Below are 16539 nucleotides of genomic sequence, written 5' to 3'. Positions count from 1 at the left end.
CCTTTCCAGAAATGTGTCTGTGTAGTTTCAATTCTTCAGGTTTGGGACAACCGATGTCAAACGTCCTTACCATTTCCTTCTAATGGCCTGTTCTTGCCTTAACCATGTGCCTGCTGCTCTGAGAATTCCTGTCAGCACTGGATCTGTCATTCTAAAAGAAATAGAATGTCATATGGCATTATCCTGCCCAAATATACACTTACTTGTCACAATGTATGGTCATTATCAGAAGCCCCTAGTCTCGTGGGAATGCCATGGGCTTTGGAATCAGTTCAGGGTTGGGACCAAATCCTGTGTCTATCAGTGTGAGATCCTGGACAAGATTCTGAGTCAAAGAATCATAAACGATCAATCAATAACTAGCCTGGGATGGGCATGATGGTTCACGCCTATAATCCCAGGACCTCGGGAGGCCAAGGCAGGTGGATCACCTGAGGTCAGGAGTTCAAGACCACCCTGGCCAACATGGCAAAACCTGTCTTTACTAATAATACAAAAATTTGGCCGGAGTTGGTGGCTCATGCCTGTAATCCCAGAACTTCGGGAGGCCGAGGCAGGCAGATCACCTGAGGTCAGGAGTTCGAGATCAGTCTGGCCAACATGGTGAAACCCTGTCTCTACTAAAAATACAAAAATTAGCCGGGCATAGTGGTATGCACTTGTAATCCCAGCTACTCAGGGGGCTGAGGCAGGAGAATCACCTCCAGGAGAACCCAGAGGCAGAGGTTGCAGTGAGCCGAGATCGTGCCATTGCACTCCAGCCTGAGCAACAAGAGTGAAACTCTGTGTTGTAAAAGATAGAAGAAAAATTAGCTGGATGTGGTGGTGCTCACCTGTAACCTCAGCTACTCGGGAGGCTGAGGCAGGAGAATTGCTTGAACCAGAAAGCGGAGGTTTCAGTGAGCCGAGACCATGCCAATGCATTCCAGCCTGGGTGACAGAGCGAGACTCTACCTCAAAAAAACCCAAAAAACAAAAAAACAAAGAAAAACAATTAGCCTGAATTGAATATTCTACCTTCTATTCCTTAACTGTTGTTATCTGTTATCACTAGTATAATCTGACTAGCCCAGATTTTATTCTGAGCTTTGAGGGAAATAGTTTTGAAGACTTATAGTTCAAGGAAAATCTTTCCCTGGGCTCAGACTTGTGTTTTTGTGAAATGGGGCTAACGTCTACCCCGCAAGGCCATCATGAACATAAGCTGAGATGACAGACCTAAGGGAAAGGCCTTGCACAGAGAAGGACTCCATCAGTGCCAGTTCTGTTCTTCACAACCCCTTGGTTTTTTGTTTTTAATTGAGGAACAACATCTATGCTGAAAAATGCACAAAGATTAAGCATAGAGCTTGGAGAATTTTCACAAACAGCATAGGTGTCTATGTAACCAGCCCCCAGATCTGGAAATACAGCATAGCCGGGCATGGTGGTGGGCACCTGTAGTCCCTGCTATTCTGGAGGCTTAAGCAAGAGGATAGATAGCTTGAGTCCAGGAGCTCAGGGATGAAGAGAGCTACGATTGAGCCACTGCACTCCAGCCTGGTGACACAGTACGATCCCATTTCTAAATAAATAAATACAGCAGGCCTCTAAACATCCCCCATTGTCCCCTTCTCTCCTGGATCTTACTAGTTTGCGGGTATGAGACTGTCATCCACAGGGGAGAAGCCGCCCGAAGGAGCTTCTCTGAGACCTTGCGTGTGTGAGTGAAAAATGGTGAAGTTCTCAGATAGTAACAAAGTTCATCCTTGTAATGGGTGTCTCCTTAGGATATCCAGGTGAACGCAGAGTTTGATGGCCTTGCTAGCTCAGTGAAGGGAATTCTTCCAGAACTCTGCATAAAGACTGGCGCTTGCAGAGTGGAGTATAAAAAGGAGTTGCTGCCAGTCTTCAGATCAGCCCTGCCAGCGTCTGTCCCTAAGTGACCTTGGAGTGTGGCTTCCTCATCTCCAATCAGCTGCTTCGACCTCCAGGTTGAGGAGCTCTTTGATTCACGAGGCCTTGTTACCACTTGTGTCTGCACTGAGTCCTCACGTCAGCCGTGTGCTAAGTCCACACGGTGCTCACACACCTGTACCCTCCTCTGTGCCCCACGGACCCTGCACTCATCTGGGCCTTCATGTGCTCTCACTCATTCCTGTCACACAAACCCCTACTAAGTACTGCACATTCAACTGGGCATGGTATCCAAGATGCCCAAGCAAGTCCCTGCCCTCCCCATGTTCATGTTCTGATGACCTCAGGAAACTATTAAAATATAAGGAGGGGTGCACACTCTACTTTTGAGAATGCAAACGGGCACAGCCTTTTTGGAAAGCAATATATCATCATGCACTGAGAGCCTCAAAACTGCCTGTGCCCTTTGATACAATCATTTGACTAATGTGCTCTAGAGAAATAACCAGAGATGCATAAAAGATTGATGCCTAAAGATGCTCATGGGGCCGGACGCAGTGGCTCACACCTGTAATCCCAGCCCTTTTGGAGGCCTAGGTGGCTGGATCCCTTGAGGTCAGGAGTTTGAGACCAGCCTGACGAACATGGTGAAACCCCAGCTGTACTAAAAATACAAAATTAGCCAGGCATGATGGCGCACACCTGTAATCCCCGCTACTCAAGAGGCTGAGGCAGGAGAATTACTTGAATCCTGGAGGTGGAGGCTGCAGTTCTCACCATTGCACTCTAGCCTGGGCAACAAGAGCAAAACTCTGTCTCAAAAAAAAAAAAAAAAAGATGCCCATGGAAATGCTGTTTATCATAATGAAAATTGGAAGTGTCCCCAATAACAGGGGATTGGCCAACTAAAATTTGGATATGTTAAATGTTAAAAGCAAATGTTAAAAGCCACATGCTCAAAGAACACTTAACCATTCATGAAAATACACATGATTAATGTTCAGTGAGAAAATTGGGAAGAAAAAAATCACATGGCAGCTGGGTGCAGTGGCACGTGCCTGTAGCCCCAGCCATTCAGAGGCTGAGGTAGGAGGATTGCTTGAGCTCAGGAGTTGGAGACCAGCTGGGGCAATACAATAAGACCCTGTCTTTAAAAATCAATCAATCAATCACATGGCTTGTCTGACAGTTCCTCAAAAGCTTAATCATAGAATTACCATATAACCCATTAATTCCATTCCTAGGTATATACTTGAAAGAAATGAAGACATATGTCCCCACAAGAACTCGTGCACGAATATCCATAGCAACATTATTTATAATATTCTAAGAGTGAAAATGCCCACCAGTGGATAAATGCAACGTGGTATATCCATACAGTGGAATATTATTTGGCAATAAAAAGGAATTTGAGGTGATACCAATGTTCTAAAATGTATTGTGGTGATGGCTACGTAACTGTGCATATTCTAAAGGCAATTGAATTACAGATGCTTTACATGAATGAACTGCATGGTATGTGAATGGCATCTCAATAAAACTGTTTTGAAAAGAAGGAAAAGGACGGACACATGCTGAAAACGGGTGAAACTAGAAAACATGGCGCTAAGTGAAAGAAGCCAGCCACAAGATCACGTGTCGCATGACTGCATTTACGTGAAACATCCGGAGTACCCAAATCTATACAGACAGAAAGTAGATTATACATTGCCTAGGTGCAGAGAAATGGAAGGATTGGAGGTTGACGGCTAAAGGATGTGGATTTCTTTGGGGGGTGATAAAAATGTTCTAAAATTGATTGTGGTGATGTGCGACTCTATGAATACGCTAAAAACCGCTCGGTTGTACATTTTAAATGGGCGATTTATGCGGTATGTGAATTACATCTCAAGAAAGCTGCTGCAAAAAATATCATACGGGTTGAGCCTAGTGGTATTAAAAAAGTATAAATATGGCCAGGCGCGGTGGCTCACGCCCATAATCCCAGCACTTTGGGAGGCCGAGGCGGGCGGATCACGAGGTCAGGAGATCGAGACCATCCTGGCTAACACGATGAAACCCCGTCTCTACCAAAAATACAAAAAAAAATTAGCCAGGTGTGGTGGCGGGTGCCTGTAGTCCCAGCTAGGTGGGAGGCTGAGGCAGGAGAATGGCGTGAACCTGGGAGGCGGATCTTGCAGTGAGCCAAGATTGCGCCACTGCACTCCAGCCTGGGCGACACAGCGAGACTCCATCTCAAAAAATAAATAAATAAATAAAATAATTGTTTGGGTACACTGTTGCTGTTACGAAGCCTACGATTTGACTGTCTTGCCTTCATTGATGATCTTTTTCTCCCCATGGTTGCTTTTAAAATCTTGTGTTTGGTATCTTGTCATTTACTACTACCTTGAGTCTAGGCCTGGATTTTATTTAAATATATGTTTGGTATATATTGTGTTTCCTGAATTTACGAATTCATGTTTTACCAACAAATTTGGAACATTGTGTTATCTCTTCAAGTATTGCCTCCTTCATTCTCTAGATTCTCTCCCTCTAGTACTTCCAGTCTTTAAAATTCTTCCCTCCAAATCTCAACTTTCTAATGTTTTCTAGCTCCTTGTTTCTCCTACTGTTGTTTGTATAAAATTATAACGAAAAGTGTTTATAAGAAATTGTAAACAAATGTAAAACTAAATAAACATTGTTATGCAACATTTAAAAAATTGTTTGAACTGAAGGATAATAGTGACAAAGCCTATTAAAACCTCTGGGATACAGCAAAATTAAGAGGAAGGTTCATAGCATTAAATGCCTACATCAAAGAGCATGAATAGACAATCTAAAGTCATACCTCACAGAACTGGAGAAACAAGAACCAACCAAACCCAAACCCAGAAGAAAAAAGAAATAATAAAGATCAGAATTAAATAAAATTGAAACAAAAATACAAAAGATATATGAAACAAAAAACTGATTCTTTTAAGAGATAAACAAAATCAATAGACCATTAGTGAGATTAACTAAGAAAAAAAGGGAGAAGATCCAAATAAGCTCAATTAGAAATGAAATGGGAAATATTACAACCAATACCACAGAAATATGAAATATATTCAAGGCTACTATGAACACCCTTATGTGCACAGACTAGAAAATTTAGAGAGAGTGATAAATTCCTGGAAATATACAACCCTCCTAGATTAAAACACAAATAAATAGAAACTGCACTGGGTATAGTGGCTCACACCTGTAATCCCAGCACTTTAGGAGACTGAGGTGGGCAGATCACTTGAGGCCAGGAGTTTGAGACCAGCCTGGCCAACAGAGTTAAAACCCTGTCTCTACTGAAAATAAAAAAAATTAGCTGGGTGTGGTGGTGCACACCTGTAATCCCATCTACTCAGGAGGCTGAGGCAAGAGAATCACTTGAGCCTGGGAGGCAGAGGTTGCAGTGAGCTCAGATTGTGCCACTGCACTCCAGCCTGGGCGACAGAGCGAGATCCTACGTGGAAAAAAAAAAGAGAAAGAAACTGAACAGACAAGTAACAAGCAGTGAGACTGAAACAATAGTAAAAAAAATTGCCAACAATAAAAATGTCCAGGACCAAATGGATTAACAGCTGAATTCTATCAGGCATTCGAAGAATTGGTACCAATCTTACTGAAATGATTTCAAAAGATAAAGAAAGAGGAAATCCTCCTTAAATCATTCTATGAGGCCAGTAACACCCTAATACCAAAACCAGGAAAGAACATAACAAAAAAAGAAAACTATAGACCAATAGTTCAGACTCTGTAGGTCTATAGTTCAGCCCCTGATGAACATAGATGCAAAAATCTTCAACAAAATACTAGCTGAGTCCAACATTATATCAAAAAGATAATACACCATGATCACGTGGGTTTCATATCAGGGATGAAGGGATGGTTTAACATATGCAAGTCAATAAATGTAATTAATCACATATAAATAATTAAAAATTTAAAAATATGATTTCAATTGATGCAAAAAAACCCATTTCACAAAATCCAGCATCCATTTATGATTAAAACCATCAGAAAAAGCATAGAAGGGACATACCTCAAGGTAATAAAAGCCATCTATGAAAAATCCATAGTCAACATTATACTAAACAGAGAAAAATCTACAGCATTTCGCCTAAGAACTGGAACAAGAAAAGGATATCCACTTTCACCTCTTCTATTCAACATTGTACTGGAAATTTTAGCCAGAGCAATCAGACAAGAGAAACAAAGGGCATTCAAATAGGTAAAGAGGAAGTCAAACTGCTGCTGTTCACTGATGATATGATTGTATACCTAGAAAACCCTAAGGACTCATCCAAAAAGTTCTTAGATCTAATACATGAATTCAGCCAAGTTTCAGGATACAAAATCAATGTACACAAATCAGAGGTAGCACTGTTATACACCTCCAATGACCAAGCTGAGAATCAAATCAAGAACTCAACCTCTTTTACAACAACTGCAAAAAATAAAATACTTAGGAATGTATACCTAACCAAGGAGATGAAAGATCTCTAAAAGGAAAACTAAGGGACACTGCTGAAAGAGATTATACACAACACAAACAAGTGCAAACACCTCCCATGCTCATCGATGAGTAGAATCAATATTGTGAAAATGACCATACTGACTAAAGCAACCTACAAATTTAATGCAATTCTCATCAAAATACCATCATTACTCTTCACAGAACTAGAAAAAACAACCCTAAAATTCATATGGAACCAAAAAAAAGCCCTCAAAGCCAAAGTAAAACTAAGCAAAAAAAAAAAAAAAAAAAATCTAGAGGCATTACATTACCCAACTTCAAACTATACTACAAGGCTAGAGTTACCAAAACAGCATGGTACTGGTATAAAAATAGGCACATAGACAAATGGAACAGAATAGAGAACCAGAAATAAAACCAAATACTTACAGTCAACTGACCTTTGACAGAGCAAATACAAAGTGGGGAAAGGACATTCTATTCAACAAATGGTGCTAGGATAATTTGCAAACCACATGTAGAAGAAAAAAGCTGGATCCTCATCTCTCACTTTTTACAAAAATCAACTCAAGATGGATGAAAGACTTAAATCTAAGCCCTGAAACCATAAAACTTCTAGAATATAACATTAGAAAAGCTCTTCTAGACATTGGCTTAGGCAAAGACTTCATGAATAAGAACTCAAAAGCAAATGGAACAAAAACAAAGATAAGTAGCTAGGACCAAATTAAGCTAGAAAGCCTCTTCACAGAAAAAGAAATAATCAGCAGAGTAAACAGACAACCCACAGATTAGGAGAAAATATTTTGCATACTATTCATCTGACAAAGGACTAATATCCAGAATCTACATGGAACTCAAACAAATCAGCAAGAATAAACAAATCCCATCAAAAAGTGGGCAAAGGGTATGACTAGGCAATTCTGAAAAGAAGATACACAAATGGCCAAGAAACAAATGAAAACATGCTCAACATTACTAATTATCAGGGAAATGCATATCAAAACCACAATGAGATGCCACCTTACTCCTGCAAGAATAGCCACAATTAAGAAAATAAAAAAACAACAGATGTTGGCATGAATATGGTGTAAAGGGAACATTTTTACACTGCTGGTGGGAATGTAAACTAGTACAACCACTATGGAAAACAGTATGGAGATTCCTTAAAGATCTATAAATAGATTTCATCCACAATCCCACCACTGGGTATATACCCAGAGAAAAAGAAGTCATTATATGAAAAAGACATTTGCACACTATATAATAATTTATACTTAAAATTGTTTAAATTTAATATTAACAAAAATAAATGTAATATGCCACACAAGTAGGTATTCAATAAAACTAAATACAATTACGTTTAACTTTTGAAACTATGTTATACTATGAAAAAAATCCTATTAACTTTTGAATATTTAGCCAAGGAAACCAAGTATATCTCTTCTTTAAAAAGTCTGATTCCAATTTTAACAAACAGGTGTTTTTGACAACCAGTTTATTTCCTTACTGAAATTTTCAAGGCACAGAAAGAACAAAAGAAGAAACATCCATTACACTGCCCAAAACAACAGTACCTGAAGGATTTAGAGGCAAAAATGAAGCCTGAGAATAGCAGGACATAGACATATTTCGTAACATAGACTCATAGCAGAATAATCGTTATGTTGGTTCACTAGGGAAGAAAACACTAAACAGCTCTTGCAAATACACTCAATATACAATAAGATAGCTTGTGATTTTAACGAGTTAGCAATGCAGAACAATGAAGCAAAAGCAAACAAAAAAACTAAAAATAACTAAATAAAACAAACACTAAATAAAAACAAAAATAAATCCATTTTCTAGAAAAATTTTTAAAGACTTTGCTTGATTTACCAAAGAATTCAGTATTGACTTATTCTGTCTCCATTTTATTTTATAATGGAACCCATCTAATTTTATGCTAAATGTATGCCGTAAGGACACCTTGCTACTCTGGAAAGAATAAGAGGAGAGTGGACAGAAGGCCATACTCTATTGAAAAAGAGTATCTCCAGCCTGGTAACAGAGACTCCATCTCAAAAAAAAAAAAAAAAAGAGTGTGTTTTCATATATGATTTTGTGACTCTACATTTTTAAGTAAGGATGAAGAACTTGGTAATTAAATGATTCCTCAGTTGCTCATCACTGTCATCAGACACCTTGAGTATACTGTGGGGACAGCATCTGGAAGAGGAGGAGACCTGAGTAATAATTTGGATGGAGCCGATTTCCACAATCCTACTTTCCCATTATCTGCAGTTCAGAATTTAACTAAGTATCTGTATTGTTAATCTGGGTGAACGACCTCAGTAGACACCAGACAGCTGGATGCCTGCACTTCTTTAGATTTCATATTAATGGTTCATATACTCTCCCCATCCCTGTCACTTTTATACTTCCCTGAAACTGGATTACATATGAGATAGAAACAAGGAATCCAGGTATTATATTGACTCTTTCTCAGGAGCCACTGCATTGGTGTTCATGATGCATTACTGAATGTACCAGCTGCCTCCCTCTTCTTGTGAAGGCCCTTCTTTATTCCCTCAGATGTGCTCATCACGAGATAGCTTCAAGCATATCATCTGCTTGCCTTGCCAGTTATAGCAACCATAAAAATAAATTTGCAGCATCATATATAGCTTGAATATTCTCAAAAGATGTTCCTAATAGCTCTTAAAATAAAATGTTTTCCACAGAGTAGCTATACATAACGTGCTCTCAGCTTATGTAAACTTATGTTTTTATTGGTCTTAAAGCAAAACTTCTCCTAAAATTGAGAAAAGAACTAAAGTCTTTTGTCATTAGATGAAGAAAGATACAGCATCTAATACTGTGAACTTCTCTATTTTAAGATGTTTTCAGACATCAAGACTGGATGATAAAATTATTTAACAATTTGGAATATAAATTAAGAAATAAAAAACCTTTATACTATACTATATTACTAACATTTTTGTTTGATCGTGGCTGCCTTATAACTTTTTGGTAGTTCATTGAAAATAATGGCTACTCGTGAGAAAACTGAAATAGCCTAGGACATAGAAGACAGAGACAGAAAAAAAAGGTAAATTAACTATTTGTGCCACGTGGTAAAGAAAGTTTACAGTATGTAGTCATTAAATGTACTTGCTTATAATTACATAATATAACCAATGATGAACAATTTTAAATGCAATTTAGAATTCAGAATATTTTATATTTAATATATGTTTCTCAAAGAAATATAAGATCTACTGAATGGGGAGATACTTTATATGTGTAATTACTTACAAATGGGAGAAAACTTTTACAATAGTTTGTACTCTTTAGCTATAAGCTGTAATTTAAGAGATTCAGTAAGAGTAGCTTTTTGTAACTTAAATATTCTATATTTTCCTTGCACACATTTTTGCCTTTAATCATGTATTTTATTCAACCTGCTAAGATGGTAGAGAATATACATACGTAAGATTACATTAATAATTACTAAAATAATGGTCTATGACAAATTTAAAGTGCAGTAGGAAAAAAGTTTAATAAAAACAACAGAGATATACAGAATGTGGCTTTCCACAGTTTGTCTCCCATATTATTCCTATCATTTACTCTGTTTCTAAGGTTAAGTAACATTAAGATGAGGCGTAAGTGTTGTAATATGCCTTTAATTATTAAATATAAATGTATCACATGGCAATTATATTCAACATACTCTTATTCCAAGCTATGTACAATTTTAATAATTTTATACAGGTAGCTTTGAAAATGAGCGAATTTGAATATAACCAATAATCACAGAAATATTTATAGTGCAAATATTCTCAGCAAGATTTGAATTGTTGGTAAATTCAAAACAAATAGAAATACAAAGAAAAATTTTGTATAATACTTTTCATCTAGTTTATGTTACAGTGTTTTAAATTCAGCTTAGTCACATATCATGATACAATGCTTTTGGTTTTGTTTTTTTGAAACAGAGTCTCACTCGCTCCGTTGCCCAGGCTGGAGTGCAGTGGCGTGATCTCGGCTCAGCTCACTGCATCCCCTGCCTCTCGTGTTCACATGATTCTTGTATCTCAGTCTCCTGAGTAGCTGGGATTATAGTAGTGTGCCACCATGGCTAGCTATTTTTATTTTTTTTGTAGTTTTAGTAAAGACAGGGTTTTGCCGTGTTGGCCAGGCTGGTCTGGAACTTGGCCTCAAGTGATCCACCCACCTCAACTTCCCAAAGTGCCAAGATTATGGGCATGAGCCATGGCACCTGGCCCTGATATGTTTGGAAATAGTGGGTGAATGCTGCATTTGAGATACTAGAGACCTGTTTGGAGCATTAAGCGAATGCATCTTATTAAGAATGTATTCTTTACCATTCTATGCAATGGCTTACATATCTGTGTATTTTCTTGGCTTGTCTACATGATATACAAATATTTGGATACATACAGAAATATAGGTCACTCATGTAAAAGCTTTTCAATCTGGCACATAAATTCAGGTTATTTGAAAACGGAATGGTAAAGTGTTACTGAAGAACTTTTACTATGGTTCATGTTTGGTAATATTTGCTAATATTCTAAAAACAAAACAAAAACCAAAAAATACCTTGATTTCATAATGTAAACATCTGATGTCTAAATTAATCAATAAAATAATTTTTGTGTTTTAACTAATTATATTTTATTTTGGTGCCGCGTAATTTCATGATAGATTAAATACTGAGACTCATTAGAGGTAAACTAGTGAATTATCATCCCGTTAAGAAAAATTTTGCTTCCGTTCGTGGGGGAGCTGCGGCGGTGGCGGTGCAGGAGGCCGGGCCGGGGCGCGGAGGGACCGACGGATGCACGGGCGGGCGGTCGGGAGCCATGGAGCGCGGCCCTGGGGCCCGGGGGCGCGGGCCGGGGTGGCCTTCCCACGGCACGACATGGAGACCTGTGGTTGCGAGGCTCCCTGGGGCGGCTTGGACCGCGATGGGGCTGGGCCCTGGCCTCCTAATGGGGCTGCCGTCTGGGGCTCTCACCCCTGCCCGCGACTCGGAGCACCCCCACCCCTCCCCTGCCCGGCCAGGCCGGGCGGCGTTGTTGGCGGGGGCCCCGGTGGAGGCCCGGCCCGGGAGGCGCCTGCCATGAACGGGCTGTCGCTGAGTGAGCTCTGCTGCCTTTTCTGCTACCCGCCCTGCCCCGGCCGCATCGCTGCCAAGCTCGCCTTCCTGCCGCCGGAGGCCACCTACTCCCTGGTGCCTGAGCCCGGGCCTGGTGGGGCCGGGGCCTGGTGGGGCCGGGGCCGCCCCCTTGGGGACCCTGCGGGCCTCCTCGGGCGCTGGAAGCTGCACCTGACGGAGCTCGCCGACTTCCAGTACAGCCAGCGCGAGCTGGACACCATCGAGGTCTTCCCCACTAAGAGCGCCCACGGCAACCGCGTCTCCTGCATGTATGTTCGCTGCGTGCCTGGTGCCAGGTACACGGTCTTCTTCTCGCACGGCAACGCGGTGGACCTGGGCCAGATGAGCAGCTTCTATACTGGGCTGAACTCCCGCCTCCACTGCAACATCATCTACGACTACTCCGGCTACGGTGCCAGCGCGGGCAGGCCTTCCGAGTGGAACCTCTATGCCGACATCGACGCCGCCTGGCAGGCCCTGCGCACCAGGTGAGGGCGACCCTGGGGGCAGCTCAGCCTGGGCACACCCAAGAGGGGACCAAGCCGGGGGCCGGGGGGCGGGCTTCCCTGGGAGGAAGTTGGGCGGCCCTGCAGGAGGGGAGCCACAGTGGATGCACAGGGCCAGAGAGCCGGACAGGCGAGCTTGGGTGTGCAGGTGCCGCCTCCACATGGCTGAGGTGTGGCCAGGCGGTCCTCCCACACCCTGGCCTGTGGAGCCAGGCTCCCTGGGAACCCCTGGCCTGAGGACGGGAAGGGGCTGAGCTTATCACAGGGGCGTGGATGCCACCCGGCAGTCGGGAGTGGGTGGTGGTCTGGGGGTCTGTGCACGTGTGGCTGGGAGCCCATCTGCGGAGGCAGCACTTGGGGCCAAGTGAGGCGAGGCTGCTGCATCCAGGTCCCGAGGCCTGGCCCATGAGGCCCTGTGGCTGCGGAGCTTGGCCATCCTGGGGCAGGGCCTGCAGGGTAAGGTGCAGACCCCCAGCACACACCCGAGGTCTGGGCCAGCCTCGATTCCAGATCCAGCCCTCCTAGTCATCCAGGTCCCCAGCCCTGCGCTTGCCTGGGCCCTTCACCGGTGTTTGAGCACCGCCCGGGCCAGTGCTGCTTTGGACGAGGAGACCCGGGTGGGCCTCTGGTGGCCTTTCCTGCTCGCCATCCACTGGGGCTGTCTCGTCCTGGCCCTCCCCAGCCCACTGGTCTGACCTGCTCCCGCAGGGGACCAGGCACAACTCTGAGAAGTCAGAGGCCCTGGGGAGGTGGGGTCCTCGTTGCCTTGGTGATATTGCAGGCGGTCCCTGCTGTGGGCCTGGGAGCTGGTCCCCTGGCACCACCCTGGCTCCGGGGGCCTCCCAGCAGTGTGGGGCGCTGACACCAATCACCACTTCATGCGACTTCCTCGGCCCCTCCTGTCTCTACTGCCTGGGCCTCTGGCAGAGTCACACCCGCCATGGCCAGCTCTGAGCTCTGTCTGCTCGGCCATCTGTCCTGCTGCCACTTTGTCCTGCAGGAACCTAGGCCCAGAGCTGTGAGGGGGAGGCCAGAGCATGCCCAGGGCCTCCACTGGGGATGTGTCCCGTTCCTTTGAGTGGTGACATCCAGGTGGCAGCTGGGGGCTCCTGACTGTAGCAGGTGGTAGGGCTGGGCTGGCTCAGCACACTACTGACCATGGCTGCCAGGGAGCAGGCCGGGGAGGCCGAGGCAGAGCTGGGGCCACAGGCACCAGCCAGGCAGCATCCTTTGGGGCATGGGTGAGTGGCGAGCTGTGGAGTGCTGCCAGGAGGCTGGGATTCCAGGCCAGGGACGGGGACAGCCCGCTGGTGGAGTCCGAATGCCAGGCAGAGGGGATGCACACCTGCCCATGCTCCTGCCTTGCAAGAGGGCGTCTGCCTGGGATCAGAGCCTGGAGCGTGTGGGAGGAGAGTTGTGGGGTCCCGGCATGGGCAGGGTGGCAGGTGGGTCCCGCGTGGTTGGGATTGGGCACGAGGAGGCCTTGTAACTGTTGCTGGATCAGCTGGGTCAGGGGCCGCACACCAGTGACCTGGGGGTGGGGGTGCCCCTGGGTGGGAGCTGGTGGTGCTGAGGTGGCCGAGGACTTGTCCACTCCCAAGGGAAGGTGCTGGTGGGAGGGGGTGCCACCTCCGCAGCCACCACCCTCGATGCTGACCTGGGTTGCACTGGCATCTCATTGGGCGTGGGGACTCCGAGACTCCAAAATCGGGTGGAGACATTTGGGGACACAGCTGCCTGAATTCCTCATGGCCAAGGGGGTGGGCAAAGGCTGCAGGGAGGAAGAGTGTCTGCTGTCCTGGCCAGTGCACCAGGAACGGCTTTCTAACCCGGGCAGGGAGGCGTGAAGCATTCAGAATGTAGGGGGCACACAGTTCCCAGTGTGCACCTAGGGGTGACCAGGAGGAGGAGAGGTGCCAGGGCCTCCCCTACCCCTGCCCCAGGGGCACTCTGTAGGCGGGATCCCTGCAGATCCTTGCTAGGAAACGCCAGTGAACGGCAGCGCCAGGGAATAGGGCGGGGCCGCTGGCTTCGCCCACCGCCGCGGTGTTGGGGGCTGGGGGTGGCCCTCGGGACTGGTGTGGAGCCTGGGTCTGACCCACTGACTTAGCTGAGTGGGGAGACTGGAGGGTCGCATCCGGAGCTGGGCCCGGGGACGCCCGCTGGTGGGAAGGGTGCGCCCGCGTCGGAGGCCGCGGCTGACCCTGCTCCGGCGCCGCCAGGTACGGCATCAGCCCGGACAGCATCATCCTGTACGGGCAGAGCATCGGCACGGTGCCCACCGTGGACCTGGCCTCGCGCTACGAGTGTGCCGCGGTGGTGCTGCACTCGCCGCTCACCTCGGGCATGCGCGTCGCCTTCCCCGACACCAAGACCTACTGCTTCGACGCCTTCCCTAACATCGAGAAGGTGTCCAAGATCACGTCGCCCGTGCTCATCATCCACGGCATGGAGGACGAGGTGATCGACTTCTCACACGGGCTGGCGCTCTACGAGCGCTGCCCCAAGGCGGTGGAGCCGCTGTGGGTGGAGGGCGCCGGGCACAACGACATCGAGCTCTACAGCCAGTACCTGGAGCGCCTGCGTCGCTTCATCTCCCAGGAGCTGCCCAGCCAGCGCGCCTAGCGGCGGGCCCCAACCGGCCGGACCTCAGCAATAAGGCGGCCCCCGGACCTCACCCCGCGCCGGCCCCCCAGGGGCTGCATGTGGACCCCCGGGCGGCCTAGGGGACCCTGCCCCGACCCAGGGGCTGTGGACGATGTACACAGTCAACAGAGCTACGCACTCCTTTCCTTTTGGAAGCAAAAAGAAAATATGTGAAAACAGAAATTAAAGATTTAAAATTTAAAAAAAAAAAAGAAAAAAAAATTTTGTTTCCGGGAAGTAACATCTTAATTTAAATGGAGGAATTTACCAAATCAAGTACAAGGATTTTATTTCTGCTACTAAATGGAAGATATATGTAAAATATAGACTCCATCACTCTATTCTTTACTATCATGAGAATTAATATAGACAGCATATTTTAGACAGAGCATACAAAGCCTTATGTTCACTGAATTACAAGTAAAATATATGTACGTATCTATAAATAATTATATATCTAATTTAGATAGTAAATGACAGAATTTACTTATTTACCTGTGCATGATGGAATTTGATTCTAGCAATTATTCCGGGTACGATAACTGGTTGAAAATGGGATATGAAGTAAACTGGTATGCTTAAAAGTAACTACATCAAGTGAATTCATTATAATGTCTCCAAGCAAGGCAAGACCACCCTCATGAGATAAGAAATGAGAGGCTACTTATTTTGACTAAGTTGACTCAATGACTTGGGGAACCAAGGACTATATGTACATGGATACTTGTTTTGTACCCCCCCAAAAAAATGTGTTTCCACTGCAGTATTTGGGAACCCATTATTTCTTGATTCATGCTCTTATTTTCATATAAGAGAAGCGTTGATACCCCAAAATCAACTTAAATTTTAATTAACCAAATATAAAATTTTTAAAGACAAAAAAAATTTCATAATAAGAGTTAAGCCAACAGAAAGGGAATATGAAACAACAGAGAAAATCAATAAACCAAAATTAAATGTTTGAAAAGATAACAAAATTGGCAAATGTTTACTTAGGTCAATCAAGAAAAAGAGAGAAGAGACTCAAATTACTAAAATCAGCAATAAAAGAAAACCCATCACTGCCAGTATTACAAAATAAAAATACAAGACAATGCAGTGAAAATCTTATGTTAAAAAAATCAGATAGCCTAGATAGAATGGATGAATTCCTAGAAAGACACAAACTAAAATAGATGAAAGGACTAAGGAGAAATAGAAAATCGAAATAGATCTACAGAAGGTAAAAAGATTGGATTGTAATTTTAAAAACTTACAATAAAAATCTCAAGTAGCTTCCCAGGCAAAATCTATCAAACACACTGAGAAATTAATATCAATTGTTCACCAACTCTTGCAGAAAATAAAAGGGGAGAGAACACTTCCCAATTCATTTTATAAAGCCAGGATTACTGACACCAAAACTGTATCACAAAACAATATAGAACAGTATCTTTCATTTTGTGTGTGTGTGACAGAGTCTCACTCTGTCATCCAGGCTGGAGTGTAGTGGTGCAATCTCAACCCACTGCGACCTCTACCTTCCAGGTTCAAGCGATTCTCCTGCCTCAGCCTCCCAAGTAGCTGGGATTACAGGCGTGCACCACCATGCATGGCTAATTTTTGTATTTTTAGTAGAGACAGGGTTTCACCATGTTGGCCAGGCTGGTCTCGAACTCCTGACCTCAGGTGATCTACCCACCTAGGCCTCCCAAAGTGCTGGGATTATACAGGCGTGAGCCGCCACGCCCAGCACATTGTTTTATAAAATCAAAAGTCTTCAACAAAATATTGCCAAACTGAATCCAGAAACATATAAAATAGATTATGCACTATACGCAGATGTGATTTAC

General features: G+C 44.3%; 1 pseudogene; it reads left to right on the top strand.

Annotated features, from left to right (window-relative positions):
* On the top strand, positions 11165–14907 carry ABHD17AP4 (ABHD17A pseudogene 4; annotated as a pseudogene).

The sequence above is a fragment of the Homo sapiens genome, chromosome 22, assembly GCF_000001405.40.
Source record: "Homo sapiens chromosome 22, GRCh38.p14 Primary Assembly".
Lineage (NCBI taxonomy): Eukaryota > Metazoa > Chordata > Mammalia > Primates > Hominidae > Homo > Homo sapiens.
Note: the sequence above shows the minus strand (reverse complement) of the source record. Positions and strands in the feature narration are given on the sequence as shown.